The 20208-nt window shown below is 35.7% G+C and overlaps 1 protein-coding gene across 13 annotated transcripts in view; it reads left to right on the forward strand.

Annotated features, from left to right (window-relative positions):
• Positions 1-20208, forward strand: part of ARHGAP15 (Rho GTPase activating protein 15) — a 638934-nt gene that overhangs the window by 285810 nt on the left and 332916 nt on the right. The window contains exon 1 of one of the 13 annotated variants that reach the window (XM_047445110.1): positions 19621-19769. The exons of 11 other annotated variants lie outside the window; for them this stretch is intronic. In XM_047445110.1, the coding sequence (XP_047301066.1) occupies positions 19662-19769 (108 nt within the window). In that variant the 5' untranslated portion in view covers positions 19621-19661. Of the gene's footprint in view, positions 1-19620; positions 19770-19967; positions 20062-20208 lie in introns of those variants that run through there. One more of the 13 variants, XM_024453000.2, reaches the window with a different exon arrangement.

Genomic DNA, 20208 nt, shown 5'->3' on the forward strand with positions numbered 1-20208 from the left:
ATTGAATACCTGATTTTAGAGAATAGTGGACCACAATAGAAATAGATTATCATAGGAAAAAATGACTTATGTAAACAAATTTTAAAACCATAAAATTTAAAACCTCTTTGTGACTAAAGATACTACAAAGAACATAAAAAAAGGATTGGCAGATGAAAAAAATATATTTGCAAGGAGGGAAAATATAAGACAGCACCTCGAAATGCATAAGAAATATGCCAATAGATAACTAAAAAAAATTTAAAGGCAAATAATTAAAATTTTGAATAAGCTTATAGAAAAAAAAGTTTAACTTTACTAAGAGTCAGGGAATTGCAGCCTAAATTGGGACACCATTCTCACCTATCATGTTGATAAATATTAAAAAGTAAAAAGATTAATCATGTTCCGTTTTAAAAGAATGCTGGTGAAAGGCATTCTTATTCAAGATGATGTCTAGGTGAAAGGCAAAGTTATAGCAGCACAATTTGTAATTGCAAAAATGTGGAACCAAACCAAATGCCCATTAATCAACGAGTGGGTAAAGAAACTGTGGTATATATATACAATGGAATACTACTAAGCCATAAAAATGAATGAATTAATGGCATTTGCAGCAACCTGGATGAGATTGGAGACTATTATTCCAAGTGAAGTAACTCCCGAATGGAAAACCAGACATCGTATGTTCTCACTCATAAGTGGGAGCTAAGATATGAGGATGCAGAGGCATAAAAATGACACAATGGACTTTGGGGACTCAAGGGGAAAGGGTGGGAAGGGGCTAAGGCATAAAAGACTACAAATCAGGTGCAGTGTATGCTGCCTGGGTGATGGGTACACCAACACCTCACAAATCACCGCTAAAGAACTTACTCATGTAACCAAACACCACCTGTTCCCCAATAACCTATGGAAATAATAATTAAAAAAAAAAAAACCTAGATGATGGATTGTTAGTTGCAGCAAACCACCGTGACACATGTTTACCTATGTAACAAACATGCACATCCTTCACATGTACCCTGGAACTTAAAATAATTTTTAAAAAAACAAAAACAAAGGGTGAAGTTACTTGGTCTCGTGGCATATAAAATAATAGTCTGTATTCTCCAAGTCTTTCATTTATTCTTTCAATAAATAGCACTTTCTCTTTGCCAAACTGAATTAAAGGTCCTGGGGACCCTGCAAGCCATAAAGAGGCAAAATTAGAGTTTCTGTCCTCATAGAGTTTGCCTTCTAAGGAGAATCCTTGCTGGTTTCACTCGATTGCAGTTGGTCTGGTCTCCCCGTTGTTCTTTGTCCTCTGTTACTCTGTCATGCTTGCCTGGATTTTGTTGTTGTTGTCAATTTGCTTTGGTTTGTTTTCTAGCTGGTATCAAGCTGCTCCCACTGCCAAAGTTGGTAAGCCCTTTCTTTTGTTTTACTTCTGAGGTCCCTTCTTTCTCCAGCCTCTTGGTCCTGACCTCAGGTTGGAGCTTTTAGTGCATCTGTAATTGTTCTCACGGGCACAGCAACGCAAACACAGTAACACAAGCCATTTACAGACTGTCTTAGTCCTAGGCATAGACCCTGCCTCTGCCCTTGCTTCCCTGCCTGCCACTTCCCCCACCACCCCCCCACCCCCACGCCCCCACGCCCCCACGCCCCCAACACCACTCCACCAGAAGCTTAGGATCAGGCAACAGATTTCTCTCAGCATACTGTCTCACCTCTAACCCCTCTTGGGATGGGGGTCAGGACTACCAATTCGCTTTTCAGGGATTCTGGCAGGCGTTTTCACTCTAATAGGGATTCTGCGAAGTCTCTGTGGTTGAGGTGCTCCTTTCCTTTTTTGCTTCTTAGAAGTTGCCATTGAGGTGAAAACTTCTTTGAAAAAGTTGGTCTAAGAGGTATTGGAGAATGTAGTGCCTGAGTAAGCAGAAAGATTCAACCTGGGTCTCGGGGGGTCTTAAGTCAGGTCTCTTTATCCCCTTCTACATAGGATTTAATTGCTGCAGCCTACAATAATATGCTCATTACTTGTCACATTTTCTAATTGCATTTTGTAATTTATCTGTGCCTGATGATCACACCTGTGCATTATGGAGATATACCACACATGCTTATGCATAGGTGTGAACGGTTACACATACTTTCTTCTTTCTCCTGCCATTCTTTTGAAGAGTTTCTCTTATTTCACAAAATGCACTAGGAGAAGAGCATCTGGGGGAAGTAAAATGAGAGGGGTGGTTTCAGATACACCTTGTTCTGTACTTGTCTGTACTTAATATGGATAATTAGATACTCTTTACTAGGTACTTTGCCACAGGGTTTTCATGGATTGCATTTAATTGTTGCCACATTCTTATGCAGTGGCTACCCTTTTTAATCTCTACAGGTGAGACAGAAGCACCAAGTAGTGAAATGACTTGTGCAGGACTGAGCTTGTGAATGACGGGCACAGATATGACCAAAGTGGTATCTGCCAAGCCCATATGTTTCAACTTGAGCGATACTGTCTCTTGCTGTTCTGCTACTTTTATGTTCTGCTTCTGCACTCAAAGTTATAGGCTTTCATTTTGTTAGACATTATAAAGATGTAAAAGAAATTTAAGCCATAGTCCAAAAATTGAGAATGCCATATGATATATCCAAATGTCATAATATTACATGACTACTAAAAAGATTGTTTATGAAGAGTTTATAGTAACTTGAGAAACCAATTTTTGGATAAAGGTAAAAACCTGGATCCACAATTGGATGAAAGTTTCTGCAACTGCTGATGGAGTAGGGTTTCACCTGCCATCATCTGTAGAACAAGAAACTCAAACTAATAGGAATAGTATATTTTGGGTACAATAATACTATTTTTTATTGTCAGAAAATTTGCATGGCTTTGGATTAGTACCCTAGTAGCACCTGTTAGCTTAGAGTCAATTGCAGAGACTGTGTCCTGTGAGAAACACATGCTACAGGCCCAACAACAGGAAGAGGATAAAGGGATAGTGGCCTCACTGGAGTCATCAGGACAGCCCCGTGGTAAATGATGTGATAGAAAAATTCTCCCCATCTACTTGTGCTGAGCCTTTCCTTTCTTGGAGTTGTAGTTTCTCTTTTGCTGAGACACCTGTTGTCCTCAAGTTCTTCTCCAGGCCTCTCTCAAAATTCCATTTCAAATACCTAAGGCTAAGTGTAAATATTCAAATGAAACTGTCAAAATTTACTAAGAGATATAAATAAAACCTTGCAATAGTGAGACATACTTTCTTTTCTGAGGTGGAAGTCTTACTAGTTTTAAATTTTTTGTTCGTCCCAAATTAATATAGATATAATATACAATCTTATCAAATTCCCAATAGGATCTTCTGGAGGAAGAGAAGAAATATTTAAAGTTCACATAAAAGATTTAGGGTCCTTCAGATGATTTCTAAGAATTAAAATATAAATTGGAAAAATTACAAAGAAGTAATACCTAAAGCTTACAATGGAAAAATTAAAAATAACACATTTATATGTAAATAAGGTTGTCCCATGAACAATGTGGATTTGAATTGCAGGGGCCCATTAATATGAGAGGGGTTTTTTTCCCAATAAATACAGGGGTCTCTCTGTATCTGATGTTTCCACATCTGCAACCAAGAGTGCAGAGGGAAAGAGCAGTATTCACAGAATATGAAACACCTGATATTGATGGCTGACTTCTTGTATCGAAGATTTGCTTTGGGCTAATGGTGGGACTCAAGTATGTGCAAATTGTGGTATTCACAGCAGCCCTGGAATCAAGCTCCTTTGAATACCAAGAAACAAAAATAATTTCATTAAAAGTGCCATTCAAAATAAATTGGGGAAAATTTATGTGGTAATTGTCACCAAAATTTAATAAACTTCCTTAAAACTGCATTCCAATCTTAAAAATACTAAAACTTAAAAATGTGTAAGCACATTAGTAAGAAATTCTAAGAAAAAAAAACCACAAATGCCTAATTATAAAAGAAATGCAAGCCTAAGAAAAAAGGAGTTTCTTATAAAATTCACAAAGTATATAATGTGTTACTTCAGAGAAAATATGAATTGAAATGGGCTTATGCTTTAAATTTTGGTGAGATAATACAACTTGGAACAAACTTTCTAGAAAATGATTAGTAATGCATTTCAGCAGCCTTTCAAAATTCTTTTATTTGACCTAGTAATTCTATTTCTAACAATCTCTTCTAAGAAAAACAAATCAGAAATCTTAACAAAAAGTCATGCTTATGCAGCGTGGGTTTATTTAACTAAATTGTGGAAAAATAGGAAGACACTTCAATTTATTAAAGTAAATCTCTATAACAAAATGTTAGGAAGTCATTAAACAGATGCTTTCAAAGAATAATGCCATGGAAAAGCCTTCATGATATGTTAAAAAAAATAATAAGATACGATATTGTATATTTAATTTGACCTATGTATGACCTATATATATATATACAAACACATATATATGTATATAAACATAACATATGTATTAAAGAGTCTGAAGGAAAATACATTAAATACTAAGAGGGATATTTTGAGTACTATGATTAGAAGTGTTTTTAGTTTTTATACATTTCTGGTTTTGCATATTTTAAGTCTTCGAGTATGCATTTATATTCAGAAATAGTTTGCTTTAATATATTTTCCTAAGAAAAGTAACAGCAATATCTAAACAAAACAGCAATATCATTGAAAATGTATAGAAAAATATCATCCTTTCACTTAATTGTTTTAAAGGCTTCATCTAAAGGAATAACTTAATTAAAATTCCAGACCTTAGACGGCAGGTTTAGGGAATTAGTTTGTCATCCAAAGAGGCTTCTTAAGGCTCCCAGAATCACACTACATGGCAATTGACAGTACTGCCGATATAAGTTTTAAGGTCAGGTCAGGATACGGTTACTGAAGTCTCACTTACGGACAATGTGGGGAAATGCAGTTCACCAATACATAGGCATTTACCCAAGTTTCTCAAATGTAGTGGCAGTTTTAGAACACAGCAATGATAATGGGCTAGGTGGAGGAGACTCAATTTACTCATTTTTTTGAGCCTGCAAATTTTGGAAAATAATGACATGGGGAAAGAAAGGGATGAACAGAAGATGGAAAAAGAAAAGAGAGCAATCTTAGAGCAGCAAGCACCTTGAATTGTAGTCTTGAAGGCAGCACAGAAGAATTGAGATAGCTGGGGGAATTGTATTGTGTATCTGAAGTACACCAGCTCTGTTTCATAGGCCTTGTGCCATCACATCATCTGGGTTACATTACAAAAACACTCTACTCCTCACATAGCATAAGTCTCTGGTAATTTTGGTGCAGGAAGGATGAGTAATTTTTACTATATTTAATTATCATTGTGGTAAGTGTTCTCTGAAAGCCTTGATGTAGCTGAAGCCTCTGCGGTAATTTACCAAGAAGTCTTTGGAGTCCGCTTAGAATCTTGCCATCCTGGGCCCTTCGATGACCCTGACTTTTTGTGATTTTGCTTAAGATATCCTATCAGGTATCTGCCTGATGTCATGGGAGCATAAAGGCATGTGTTGATGGCAAGAAGACCATGGAGTCTTATTCTCTGATAATGTTTATTCCACATCTGTGATTTGTGTCCTACAAGGCTCTTGGGACTTAAACCACATGTGCTATATTTGCATTAATGGGAATTTAAGAAGGAGAGGCCATAACACTATTAAAATGTTTAGCTTTCGCTCCCATCACACAGACACATGCTAGTAACTACTCCCAGATCTTGTATCATGGTGCTGCAGGATGCAACGTGGAGTGCACTCATTGTTTCAATACAAGGGACTTGAAAACAAATAGCTGCCATCTCTGTCTCTGATAGTTTGCCAGGCTTTTAACTTCTTTGGTTTTTCCCTCTCCAGATCATGGTGAGGTATCTCAGATGTATTCCAAACAGCACATTGCCCCATCTTTGTTTCTTCTTTTATAAAGGAACTCTTGCTTTAAGGTATATTTAGAAAACCTAGAGTCTAAGCCAAATTCTGAAGAACCACATGATAATTCTACTTTCAAATGGCAGGAAAGGACTTAGTGCAGAATCACCCACACAGGGTTATTGATCACCCAGGCCTAATAGTCACAAACGTGACAAATATGCTGGAAGTTTTTCCTAGGTTTAAATATCCAACTGTTAAATTACATATGAAGATATTTTGAAGCATCTTATAAACAGAGAGGCAGGGAGGGTGCAGGGTGGGAAGAGAAAAGAAGGGGAAGGGAAGGAGGGACAAAGGGACTGGGAGAGAAAGAGGGAGGAAAAGAGAAAGAGAGCACATCAAGGAACAGGGCATGAAGATCACATCTTCATTACTCCCTAGGCCAGAGTTTTTCAAATTGCAAATTCTGTGATCCTTTAGTGGGTCACAGAATCAATTTAGTGAGTTGGGACCAGCATTTTTAAATGAAATCAATTAAAGAAAAAAAGAAACCAGGATAGAAGATATATTACATCACATATAGTAAAGGGAGGTATTATTAAATAAAACTTTTGTTTCAATTATATGATATATATACATATATAAATGAACATATGCACATGGTGTATATATATATATATATATATATATATATATATATGTGTGTGTTTCATTATTATACATTGAATAATAGATGAATTTATGTGTAGAAAGATACCTAGATGACAGAAAGAGAGAGAGTGTGAGAGAAAGAGAAAGGGGGGGAGAGAGAGCAAGAAAGAGGTACTGATTGGCAATGATTACTTCTTAACATGTTTCATGAACAAAAATGTTTGAAAGCCATCACCAGATTATACCTCCAGGACAGTGGCTTCTTTAAATTTGGAATACGTTCTTCCCTTAGTGCCTCCTCCACCTGCATTCAGGTAAATTAACAAGCTGCATATAAGTCTCATCTAATTAAGCCACAAACTTTTAAAGAAAATGTTGTGGATGAAACTCAGTGAAATATGAATCCAATGCTGTGAGCCTCAAGGGTAGCAGATTACAAACCCAATACTGGTTCTCATGATAGAAAAATGTCCTCCTTAATGTCCTACTCCCCAGGATACTAGAGAATGATAAATGGCACAATAGTTGATAGTAAGCCTCAGAAATTGAGGGAGAAACTTACTATACTGATGATCTTTAGATATCATTTATTCAGGGATTGGGATTATTGTTTGAGATCATGAAAAAACAAGTTAATGGCAATGGAACCATCTTGATGAAGCAGGCAAAAAACTATAGTTGGGACAACTACTATGGAAAAGTTTGAGCTGATAATATTGGAAGGAAGTGTGTCTTCTGGACAGAATACAGAACCCAAAAAGTAAGATAACAAAATTCAGTTCAGGCTGTTAGGGTGTGAGTTCCAACCAGAAATAACAAGGATATTTTAAAGACCATTGGATGATTGCTGAATACACTGACATGACTCATTTTCAGATATTCTTATAACTATGGTGCCTTGAACGCAAGTATGGATTATTTCTTGATTACATGTGTAACAATTCAGATGGGTGAGGCAGATGGAAGGTGGATTTAAAGAACTCAGTGAGGTGCAATGAGGATCAGGGAGATGCTCTGCAGAGCCCCAGTTCCTAAAAGGGGGCCTGGCAAAAGGACACTACCAGCCGAGAGAGTCTGGTATGTGAGATAAACCACCAGAATAGGGAACCACAAGCCGGAAGCAAGAAGAGGATACAGCTACAGAAATGAGCTTTGGCAAAGACAGGATATCCAAGACTGTGCATTCTCAACTCTCAAGGCCTGAGATCACGTCAAGTCACTTTGGGTTATAGCAAAGGTCTTTATTCAAATACCAAGCATCTCAAGGTGGAGCATCTAACATTGAAAGCAGAGAAGCATCTGTTGAGTTGTGTAAAAGAGGAAAAGATCAGGAACCAGAAAGAGCTGGAGAAACCCCAGGGGCCCATGGAAGAGGTATTCTTCTTACCAAGATGGTGTATCATCTTTTCAGATAGATGCATTGATACAACCTTAGAAGGCAGTGGTATGTTGACAGTTATGGAAGTTGCAATATAGAGCCAGCTTTAAGAGGATGTCTTCCCCACTGTGACACTGTGGAATAGCTCACTAATACAGGTTCTCAGTGACTAATCATTGCTTTCCTCTTTACTAGTATACCAAATAAAATCTGTTTTCTACATTTCATAAGCCTTTCATTATGTGGATACCAAAACCCTTTAGTATTAACCTAAGCCAATTGAGCTATCATTCATTCTATACCCCTTTATTGAGAGCTGGTGCTATTCCAGATACTTGGCTGAATGCAGGGACATGTGGTTTTGTGGTCAGGGAGCTTAATGTGTAGAAAGGTCAAGACACTGGATGTGTACAGTAGTGAGATGCACACCATTATGAAGTTAGTACAAACTGCTGGAGGGATACCTCTTTTTTGACCTCTAGATGTTATAAAGGACTTTCCGGAATAGGCAGTGTCTGAGTAGTTTCCTGAATGAAGAGGTGGAGTTTGCAAAGTCCAGGAGACAATCAATGAATCAGTCAATAAGTGAAATCAAATAATAACATAATATTTTAAGTGCTAAGTATGTACCAGGTATTATGTTAAGTTCTTCTCCTGGATTGTATTTTATGTAGCCCTTATAATGGTCCTATGATGTAGGTATTATTGTTTTTCTCAGGTTATAGGTGAGAATATAGAAACACAAAAATTTTAAATAAATTGTTCAAAGTTATGCAGTTAATAAGTAGAGGAATTGAAAAGGTTAGAGACAGAGAAATTATGAAATGTTTTGCAACATACATTAAATAATTGAGGTTTTATCCTTGGGATAAAAGGAATCCATTCAGTGGCTTTTAAGTGGCATGTGACAGATATGGATTTAGGTAGATCATCTTTCTATGGTCTAGAGCAGCAGACTCCAATACAGCATAATTTTCAAATCACTCGTGGAGCTCTGTAAACAGACAGACTACTAGGCCCTATCTCCAGGGTCTGATTCTTTTAGGTCCTAGTGAATGTGAGAATCAGACTTACAAAGATCTCCAAGGACAAAGTTGATGTCAGTCAACTTAGGAGTTTACTGATGAGTGGATGTAAAGAATGGATTGTAACTATACCATCTGTCATTAAGGAGGTCAGACCAGAAGTCACATTGGTCCGAATTGCAATAGAGTTACACATTAGGGATCTATTAGTTTTACAAATCTAATTTTTTTTAAAAAAATGAGAAATGGTAATATAATTCTGGAGCGTGTCTGTAAGGGAGAAGAATCATGTCTTACAGGAAAATGTTTGGTAACACCACCATTTAAGGGATGAGTGAAGGGAAAAGATTCCACAGAGAGGGCATAGGGACAGCTTCTTCATGTCCTTTAGAGATGCTGTATACTTTCCTTCCTCTGAATCTTTGTACAAGCTTTTCCTTTCACCTGTGTTGTCCTCTTACCCTGCCTTTTCTTCTACTAAATCTCATCCATCCTTTTAGGATCCTTCTCCAACATTCATCCCTGGGTCCTCCATTATACCCTCAAGGAAAGTTTGATTTCTTTCATTGAAAACCATTATGTGTCCCATCTTGAATCCTTATGTAATTGTTGTTTCTAATGTTTTCACATGCTGGTCTTTTCTCACACTAGATTAGAAGCTTCTTAAGAGGAAGGGTCACTGCTAACTTTTTTGTATACCTCACAGTTCTTAGAATTGGACCAATGACAGGTATTCACTAGGCACCTAAATGGTTATTAAATGACTCTCAGTATTGTGTGTGTTGGCTAGTGATCCATATGTCCCAGAGACACAAAATAGGCCTGGTTTATACCAGTTGTCCTGGTGTGTTATTAACAGTGCCTTTTGCCTTCAGCATTATCATAGTTTCAACAATAAATTATATAGTCACCCTACTGATAGTGCTACCAATACATTTTTTAAAAGTCTAGCATCTTTAAGTGGTAACATTTCAATACAAATGTCATTTTGTTTTGGGGAGTAAGGAGTGTTAAGATATTTTTGCACACATTTGGCATGGAGTGATATGTCATTCCAGATGTCTCCTTATTAGGTGGGTGGCCTGTTGCTCAATTGACAGATGTCATTGTCTATTATAGAGTCACAGGTGGTTTATTTTAATAAAAATACCATTAAATTATCTCTATTTTTCTGTTGTGCTCTCTTTATATATAGAGAGAAATAGAACACATATGTACACATGTACTATATTACATATTATATATAACTTTATAGTATGTATGTACATATATGATACGTATCACTACATCATATGTCACTATATGTGATATACCTATATATCATATATAGTGATATATATATGAACATATTACATGTACATATGTACTATATGTTTTGTAAACCACTAACTATAGTTTTAGAAATGTCAGATGCTTTTTCATGTTTGGTTTAAAGATAACCCTTTTGAGTAAACAGTTAGGAATGTTCTCCAAACAGCAGAATTACAATTTTTCCACATTCTCAGAAGAAAATTTTCAACATTTTCAATTTATTTAAGCCTCTCATTCATGGAAAAAGAAGCATTACTACTCATTCATGAACATCTTAATTACATAGATAGTTAGTTTCATTCCTAATGAATGATCATGCTCTTTCATGGAGAGCAAAATCTAGATTGTCAAGCTCTTGGTTAAACACAATTTCAAAATTATGAGACACCAAAAGTAAGTTTGTAGTATTACACTTACTTCTTGAATTATGCAGTTTGGATTCTATAAAAAAGAATTCACTGGTTAATTTCCAAATCTCCACCTAATATTTGTTCCTCTCCCCAAAGTATATAACTTGACAGCAGAGAAGGAAATAGATACCGTTCTTTCTTGTGAGCCACACACTCTGCAAGGGCCATTCCTAGTTCTGCTATTTCCCAGGACAGAGTATCAGGAATCATGTGGGAATAGTTCATATGTGTGTGTGCCTGGGCTAATCTGTGTTTACTAGTGTAGTACAGAGGGGCACTGTTTATGTCTGAGAAAATAGTTATAAATCACACTTCTTCTGATCACAAATACTCATTTATCTTTAGACTATATCACCACCTGAGTTATTTTTATGTAAATATTGCACCTCTTAAATATAATGATGATAATAGAGGCTGTGAATCCTTAGATTTGCTCAAGTGTTCCCTTTTTCAATAACTGAAAATATTTAAATCCCAGAAGCTTTAGCATCCTAAGAGAAGTAGCAGACAGATGTGTCAATAGAGTGAGACCTACAGAAGTTGTGAGTAATGAATAAGTCAGAGTCATGGGCTTCTGTAAGGGAACTGCGGTGCATTTCCTAGGTTGGTATGTTCTGGCTATGCTGCGAACCGTAGCCCAGAAATGACTGACTCAGAGAGAGTCCTCAGCTGCTTTGCTCCTTTCAGCTCTGTCATCACATAGAAAGGTCTCTTTGGCAAAGTGTCGGAAACAACACAAGGTGGGCAAGCATCTGCAGATTTCCTCACTCAGTCAGAAGACCAGCTAGAGTCATCCAGCTTCTGGAAATCAGTAAAGAGACCAACTTTGGGTAGCGAGTCCCCAAGATCACAGAGAATCTATGTTGTGGTGGCATCACCATTCCTTATTTGTTGGCATCCTTGTCTGGAAACTGCCTCATTTGGCTATAATTTAACTTGAAGATTAAAGCACAGATTTTCATATGTATCTTCTGTTCTCTGAATGTAAAATTATGAAATACACCTACATTCACTTCTAAGTGGCAGTATTGTAATTGAGCAGATTTTTGTTTTTCACTGAAACCTGGAGTTGAATTGTCTTGAGCCGGAAGGCATTCAAGTTGCTGTTTTTTACTTAGCTATATTTCTCTATAAGCATCTAATTGTTTCAAAAAGTGAGGTAAAGTATGTGAAAACCTGAATCTAATGCAAATAAGTCTGTACAGCACTAAAGCTAACAGGTGTTCTCATTAATGTAAGCAGACATGGAACAATTCTTGAATGTTTTATAAACACTCATAATCATGGCCAAATATGTTACAATAGCATAAAGATACATACTGTAACATCTTTTATTCTTGTTGTACACTCTCAGTACTTATTAATAGGAGACTAGTGGCAACAATACCTACTTCTGCTTAAGTCACTGTATCATAAAGTTAGCTAATACTTCTAAATAAAATTAACAACGTAACTACTACCTCCTCCCACAGTTTGCTTATTTATTAATATTAACAGTGTTCTTGTAAAATTGCTACAATGCTGATGGACAGCAATGAGCATCTTTGCATCACTGAGTTTCTCTAAAGACTTGACCCATTAACCTAAGTATTAGCTCTTTAAAATTTTGAACTTATGTTCCAGTTCCCATACTGTCAACTCCCAATTACCAAAGCCTATATTTAGGGTGAGATTCTTAGATGATCTAGTATAGATGATCCCTGTAAAATACTTGGGTGGCTTTGGAATATAATCAAGAACGTTCTATTTTAGAGATATGCATTGAAATATGACTCTTGTGCTTCCCAGCCCTTCCAAGTTTAATCCTATTGTCTGATGTCTAGGACTTGCTGACTGCTGGGAAAATATAGCCTTCAGACTGCCATTATCAATCTTCAAAATAGTTTGCCTACTCTACTCTTATGAAGTGTTTTCAGTAGACGTCAGTATTACATTACTTATATTACCTGAAAGAATGCAATTGTATTGCAGCCTTCAAAATTTTATGACAATAGAGAATGAGTTAAATATATTATGGCATATCAAACAATGCAATATAATGCATTCACCAAAATGAATAAAGTAGATAAGGTTTGTCTATTGATTATTTTCTTAGTGTTCCTTATGTGTCTGTTGTTCAGCCATGCATGTAGACAATTGTCATTGGCCTCAGGATTATTATAGCATAGTGGGGGGAATGGAAAGACCAACAAGGCATTGCAACATAAACCAGTTTGTGCTAAGATAAAGGAGAAGCAGGATGTTATGAGCGCACTTGGGGGAATATCTATTTCAAAGAAGCCTTTACTGAAAAGGTGACATCTCAAATGATTTGAATGATATGACAGAGGATGTCAAAGGGGTCTAGGCAGCAGGAACAACCTGCTCTAAAGTATGGGACAGCTGGGGAACCAAAAAAATCAGTATGGCTGGATTGTGGAAATGCAGAGGAAAATGTGGAGCAGCGGAAGTGCAGAGTGGGTCAGTGCCAGAGCACACAGGGGCTGGCATGCCAAATTAAAGAGTTTGCACTGCACTGCAACAGCTGTGGGGAGCCTCAGAATGATATCAAGCAGAAGAATGGGATGATCATATCCAAGTTTCAGAGGGATCACTTTGGCTGCAATATATAGTATGGACTTGAAGGAAAAACATGGATGAGACAGTGAGGAAAGCAAAGGATATTATGACTAAATTCTCATGAGAGATGATGGTAGTATATATAGTAAAAGGCACAAAAATTTTCATAATAATATACATGATATTTTCATTAAACTGTAAACATACATAATGTTTCCTCGTGGGTCAAAAAGGTATGTAGAAAGAGACAACAAGTCAGTGTATCTTGAAGGAAGGGAGATTCTATGTTTGTTAATTTGAATTTATTAAAACTTTTAAAATTGAGCATTACCTACATAAGGACAGTAATAATAAAAATAATACCAATTTGAAAACAATGGGGGCAGCAGATTCCCAAGTGTCATGTGACTGTGACTAAATGAGTAATTGAACACAGTGAATATAGCTCAGGCAAGAAGGTGATCTGTGGTTGGCAGGGAGTGACTGGTGACAAATCCCAGGATGATTCATTTATCTACAGACAAGTACACCCCCCCAGTTTAAAAATTAAGAGCAATAAAAGTCTAAGTTGATATCTTTATACACCAACTGCTTTGATTAGTCTCTTTTTGAGTCGTTTTTCATATGAGCACCACAGGCAAAAGTTTTGGTGTGGCTGCTGCAAAACTGTGGAAATTGCTAAACTATCTACTAATTACTTGGATAGTATTCTTTCATGAATATTGAGAAGACTGTTTCTCAGTACTTAAAATATTTTAACACAATAAAAAGAATGAACATGAGGGTTTTTTTTTTTTTTTTGCTTGTTTGAAATAAATTTTGGGTTTAGATATTTGTTAATAAACAGAAAGTTAGAGTGGGCAAGTAATATGGGGTGTGAATGTTCACTACAGGGACAATTTTATTATGCAGAACAAATCTCTGTTGTACGAATGCATGGACAAAATTATTTGGGTGTCAAAGTACAGCTCAATTTCACTTAAAAAGCATTGTTTCTTGAAAGGTTGGCCTTAAACCTTAGATTTTGGAATGTACTGGAGGTCTGTCATGTACGTAACCCGACATTGTTTACTTTCCATTAAATAAGAAATTGCTTACATGGGCAGGTTATTTTGATATGATGACACCACTGAGGGTTCCAATAAATGTACATGCAAATCAATCAACCCCAAACACATTGAAAACATATCCAATAAGCGTCTGGAAACTAATGAACGCACATTTGTTAACATAGGGGGAGTTGTGGAAATGCTGAGATCCATTGGTGGCCTGGCTTATTTAGTAGCATGTGGATTTAGGAACATTTCACGGAGTCAGAAGAAACAGAGTAATTATAACATAAGGTTCAACATCTTTAGATATGTAGAACATTTTCCGTTGCTTAAAACAAATATTCCCTAAGAAAGTATAAAACATTTTTCTGACTTGCAAAGTTTTTGCAGTCTATCATTTAAATTACTTAAATAAAGGGAGCTTTACTGCTCCCCAAAGCTGAGAATATAACACCCTCCATGCATATTAGCTTGATCTTCTTGACAGACCAGAAAAGTGTTTGTGTGTGCCAATTAAAACAAAAATGGATCCCTAGTGGCTTGTTCCTCATACAACTTTTGAAGACTGCTATCATTGTTTGCTAGGGTAACCCTGGATAAGGCTGCTATCCAAAGTAAACAAACTTTTCAAAACTTTCATGACAGATGGGGATTACAAATGCATTTTAATAAGAGAGTTGCCAAAGTAACTTTTTTTTTTTTTTTTGTAATCAGCATATATTTACTTAACATCTAGCAACATTGGGAACACAAGGCAGATACTTTCTCACAAAATGCTTTAACAAGTAACATTTTTGGAAAGGCAAATTGAAGACCTTTTACATCTAACTGATATTTTACCCTTAGTTTTATTTTAACTTTGCTCAACATGTTAAGAGAAATGTTAGGAATTACTCAAACCAGACTGTAATTTGAGACAGACATTCAGCCTGATAGTGTAATTTCTTTGGTGGTCATAAACACCTTTGAGACCAAGTAATTTAGCTATTAGTATAACCATGACAACCTTCATTTGATCAGCTATATGTGGAGTGATGCAAGATGAAAAAAATGTGAATCTGTGTGGGTTTTGTAAGCATTATTACTTCGATTTTAGGTCTTGATATCTCCCTATCATGTGTATATTTTCTGCTGGGAGTACTGAATACAGATATGGACAAAATTACTATCACAAAAATAATTCATATTCACTTCAAATAAAGTTAGTGTATGTTGATATAACTTTTTATTTTTACTTAATTTAACTCAAATATAAAAATTATATCATGAAGTCCAAAGTCTCTCTAAACATAATAGCAATTAAATTCCATTCCTCTTATTTATGTCTCTCTAGAACCACTGTAGCCATATTATTTAACATGTTTTAGGGCTCTTTGGATATTTGGCATATTTTATTATGCATTTCCTGCATACTATTTCAGTTTCACTAAAATGGAATAATCCCTCCTTAGGTTCTAATCAAAATGCGAAAGGTATTTGTTCAAGTGTAGGATTGCTTTAGTCCTTTCTAGGATTTGAAGGAGTTGTAGATAACCCAATTCAGTCTTAGATATATTTTTTCATAGCAAGAGAGTGCTTGTTTTTGGAAAGAAAAATCAGAGCTAGGATTTTGCATGATCTTTTAAAATCGGGCTATCTTTAGCCTAACTGCAAGGAAAGAAGCAACTTTGTCTAAAGTTGCTATTCCAAATTTCATAACTGAAACCAAATTATCACGGCCCTTTTCCTGTTCAAACACACAGTCCTTGACTGTATACAACTGTTTGCTGAGAACTAGTGAACTAGAAATCAAGATCTTTGTAATCTCTTAATTCTATCATTTAAAATGATGCCAATTTGATAGAATGGCATTCTCATTTTCCTCATTTGCTTCATTTTCTTCATTTGCAAAATTACTTTATGATAGTGGAGGAAAGCTGCATTTGGAGAATGTTTATTATGTGCTTTGAGATCATTAAAGCTGATATCACTTTGCATACCAAGTGGTGGTATTCATATCCTTAATATACTGAAGTTCTGATACAATCAACGTTTAAAGAATAACGTATCATGACCACCAGTTTATGCATACTTTCATGATGTAAATGTGCCTGCAGTAACTACTCCTTCCTCTGAAATCTTGACATGAGCATTGTGTGTGCTGCTCACATTGGGACTCAGTATGAGCCATTTTCTATTGTTATTTATCTGTATATGCATATGTCCTATTTATCCAAACAGATTGTGAGTTCTTGAGGGTGGGGGCTGTGTATCCCTAGCTTCTAGCAATGTGCCTTGTACTTAATGGATGCTTAATCAGTCATTGTTAATGATTAGTAGGATGTTCTGTCATGAACGCATCCTCTCTATTCTTCTGTACATGAAATTATTTGTGGGATTTATTCTGCAATCAGAAGGGTGGGGCTCTCAAACAGGGTAGCACCATGTCACTCATTATCTCTTACATCTTTGGTAATCTCCCCATGTGCATCTGAAGTCAGTTGGAAGCTGGTAATATTTTACCATCAAATATGTTTTGCTGATGAGGTGTATCTATCTATAACATTGATCATTATTTCTGTTTGGTTATTATTTATAAAAGATTGGCAATAATGAAATTAAAATACCTACAATGTTTACTTTGTGTAGCTATGCATAATTTTGATTCTTTATCTTTATTTTTCCCAAATTCTACACAATGAAGTATTATTCTTAGAAAAAAGAAGTTCTAAAAAAGGTTTTGTTTATATTCTAGTAAACAAAAGTATGGAAATTTATAATGGTATAAATGCCATTCTACACATTAATTTCTCATTTAAATTAAAAAATCTAATAGCATAAAATCTTACTGCCAGAATGAATATTGATGAGAGTGTTACTTAATTGACAATATTTAAAAGAACAATACTTAAATCAACATAAACACTACTTCTTAAAACTCTTTTAAGATGTTTTAAATTAGCATAGTAAAGCTCCATTTAATTAAAATCTAAAACGCAAATTTCTTCGCTCTTCATCAGTGAAGTCTGGACTTGCATCTACCTGCCTCCATATTAAGAGGAACCGTACCAAGGACACAGACTATTCTAAGCCCACGTGAAAACTATTGTTGAATTAATTCCCAAAAGCCTTAAGGAATGTGCCCACTCTGCATGTTGCTCAGTGGACACGCTTCTATAATTTCCTGGGCATAAATTTCTTACCAGCAAGAATTCAGATGGACCCTTATTTAGTATGAAAAAGTTCAAGACAAATTTCCCCAGATGGATACTTAAAGATATGCATTATTGACACTGCACACTTCATTAAGGTTACTTTGGTGCCCTGATATATTCCTTCAAAATACGACCTGGTGTGGTAATGAGGGATTTCAAGAAACATTTGCCTAAATTAGGTTTCTAAGCAAGATGGAGACCAGCAGCTCTTATCTAAACCTGTTATGTTGTCTATAAGTTCTTCCTTCATCCCCTTACCCCAGCATCTGTCACGGAGGCAAAACATATAGAAAGAGTACATTAGCACGGCTTAATATCAAAGCCTTTATGTCTGTTATACATCATTTTAGATTGTCATCATAAGTTGTTCAATCAAAAGATTTAGTCAGAGCTAACATTCTTTACTGATGTCTTTTTTCCCCAAGAGTGTTGGAAATTCGATTGTTCAAAGTGCAAATATGATTCAGCAAACCATTTATCAGAAATCCTAAAGAGGTAAAATAAAAAAGCGGGTTGAGGAACCTGAATTAAATGGGCTTTACCAGTCAAAGATTTTGAAACTACTTTCCTGTGAGTGACTGGAATAGAGCAGAACAAAGTCAATTACTGACTGTAATTAAGAAGTGGATGCATTTAAACTGTAGAGAGCAGTAGCAGACTTCTCCAGACTGCCTGGTAACTCGAAAGATTAGTGGGAAGACAGAGGAAAGGATGTGAACTGCATCTCTCTGATAGTATGTTTTGAATGAATTGCATTCATATAGCTCTCTGATCTAGCTTCTCAAAATGAATTCGTAAATCACTGATTATGTATGATTAATGCAGTAATATATTTGGACAAAGGAACTTTTAAAATACATTTTGCTTTTGGTTGTGTTAGCAATATAAGATCCCCTTTGCATTGCATAGCATGCACCAAAAATGCAAACGCACTGCTAAAGTACTTATATTTTATCACTGTTTGAATTTACTAGACTGCAAGCTGAACTATGTTGGCTCTTTCGTAAACCCTCATAATATAGCAAATCTAATTATGTTTGTTTCTCGTACTTCTTAAATGTTTCTTTTTATAATTTTAATAATGGTTTATTTATACTGGCAGAGAAACATTACATTGTACATTGTGCTTTGGCTAATTCATTTGTCTTTGTGTATGTTAACAAATTATGATGTTAGAAATACATTCATAATCAAAATATTTCACTACAGATTAGGATGAAGGTAGAGGTCTAGGACATTACTAGTTTTCTTGTGTTAGAAATGACCTTATATTTTTAGATTACTATTTCTTAGGCAACACTCTATAAAGTAAATATTTGGAACTTTATCTGAGTAGAGAACATTGCAATGGTGTTCAGATAATTAGGCAAACATCACCTGAGCTGTCTTTTACTGGATACATAAAATAGGAGGCTGTTTTGAGCCATCCTAAATCTTATATGCAGTTTCATTTTAAAAAGAGAGAGAAAGACTGATTGGCCTCAGTAATCTGTCAAATTCTAGTGTGGGCAATTAAATCTTTTTATTTTTAAATCTTTCACTTCTTATAATTGTATACACTTTAGACAGTTCTTCTCACAGTTATAGAGACAACATTTGATATTGGAACCCATCTCAATCAAGAATGGTTACTTTGCAGTACTGATTAATATTGAATCTCTATAGAGTTTTTCTAAAAACAAATGACAAATGAATATATATGCACATATGTAACAGATTTCTTTCAAAACCCCAAAATCATTGTCATTAAATGTTGCCATGAGAATCCTTGAAACCTTCAGAATGAGCCATTTGGGGTAGTAATTGTCACTTTAATGATAGAATTATAGAGATGGCCTAAAGCGTGATTTGTGATTTTCTGAACCTGTGCCACATTTCAGCGTTCACCTCCTGTTTAGAGCAAGGAAGGCTGAGAAGAGGTGACTGGCTCCTGATTGAGTATTTTGAAATGTCAGTCCTCTAAACCCCTGAACTCTGTGTGACAGTAGTTGGGAAATGTTCATCTTCCAGTTGCAAGGAAAAGTCAATAATACAAAGGGAAAATCTTCACAGTTCAGATTGATGGCCAAATACAAAAAGCATGTCCACACCCACTCTAATCAATTTTTTCTCTAAGTTGCCCGTTATGTGTGAAACTAAGAGTATTGCTCTGTTTCTGTAGGGTCGTATCCTTTTCTCACAAGTCTGGGGAGAAAAAGATTCACTGTAATGAAAAATGGACAGTTACACGCTAAATATTGCCAACTACTTAGCAGTCTGAGAGTCAGGAACCTGAATGTTCATTTGATAAATACTCTCCCAGAGAGGTTCAAATATGTAAATGAACTTTTATTTTAATATACTCCTTTTGTGGGGAAATTGGTTTTTTTATTACTTTCCTATAGATCTCTGATAAGAAAGTAGAAATAGTCAAATGTTATTCATTTCAATGAACTTTTGGAAGTCTGCAATTAGTGTTTTTGGTAAATAAACTGTTTTAGAGCTCTCCATAAAAGGAAATCAAATATAGAGATACTATTAGATTTGAAAAAGACAGACAGGAAAGAGGCAAACGTGCAGAATGAATTCTGACACACCCGGGTGCATTTTTCTGCGGGTTCTGACTTAAGTGTGTACTGTCTGCAGTTCTCTGAACTTCCTGGCTTGTTTCTCCTTAAGTTGGAGTAATTCAGCTCTAGCCCTACTCTGACTTAATCGTTCTATTATTAAAACAATAATGTATTTGTTATGACGTGAAAAACAGTTTATAGAGAGC

This window comes from Homo sapiens, chromosome 2, assembly GCF_000001405.40.
Source record: "Homo sapiens chromosome 2, GRCh38.p14 Primary Assembly".
In the NCBI taxonomy this organism is placed as follows: domain Eukaryota; kingdom Metazoa; phylum Chordata; class Mammalia; order Primates; family Hominidae; genus Homo; species Homo sapiens.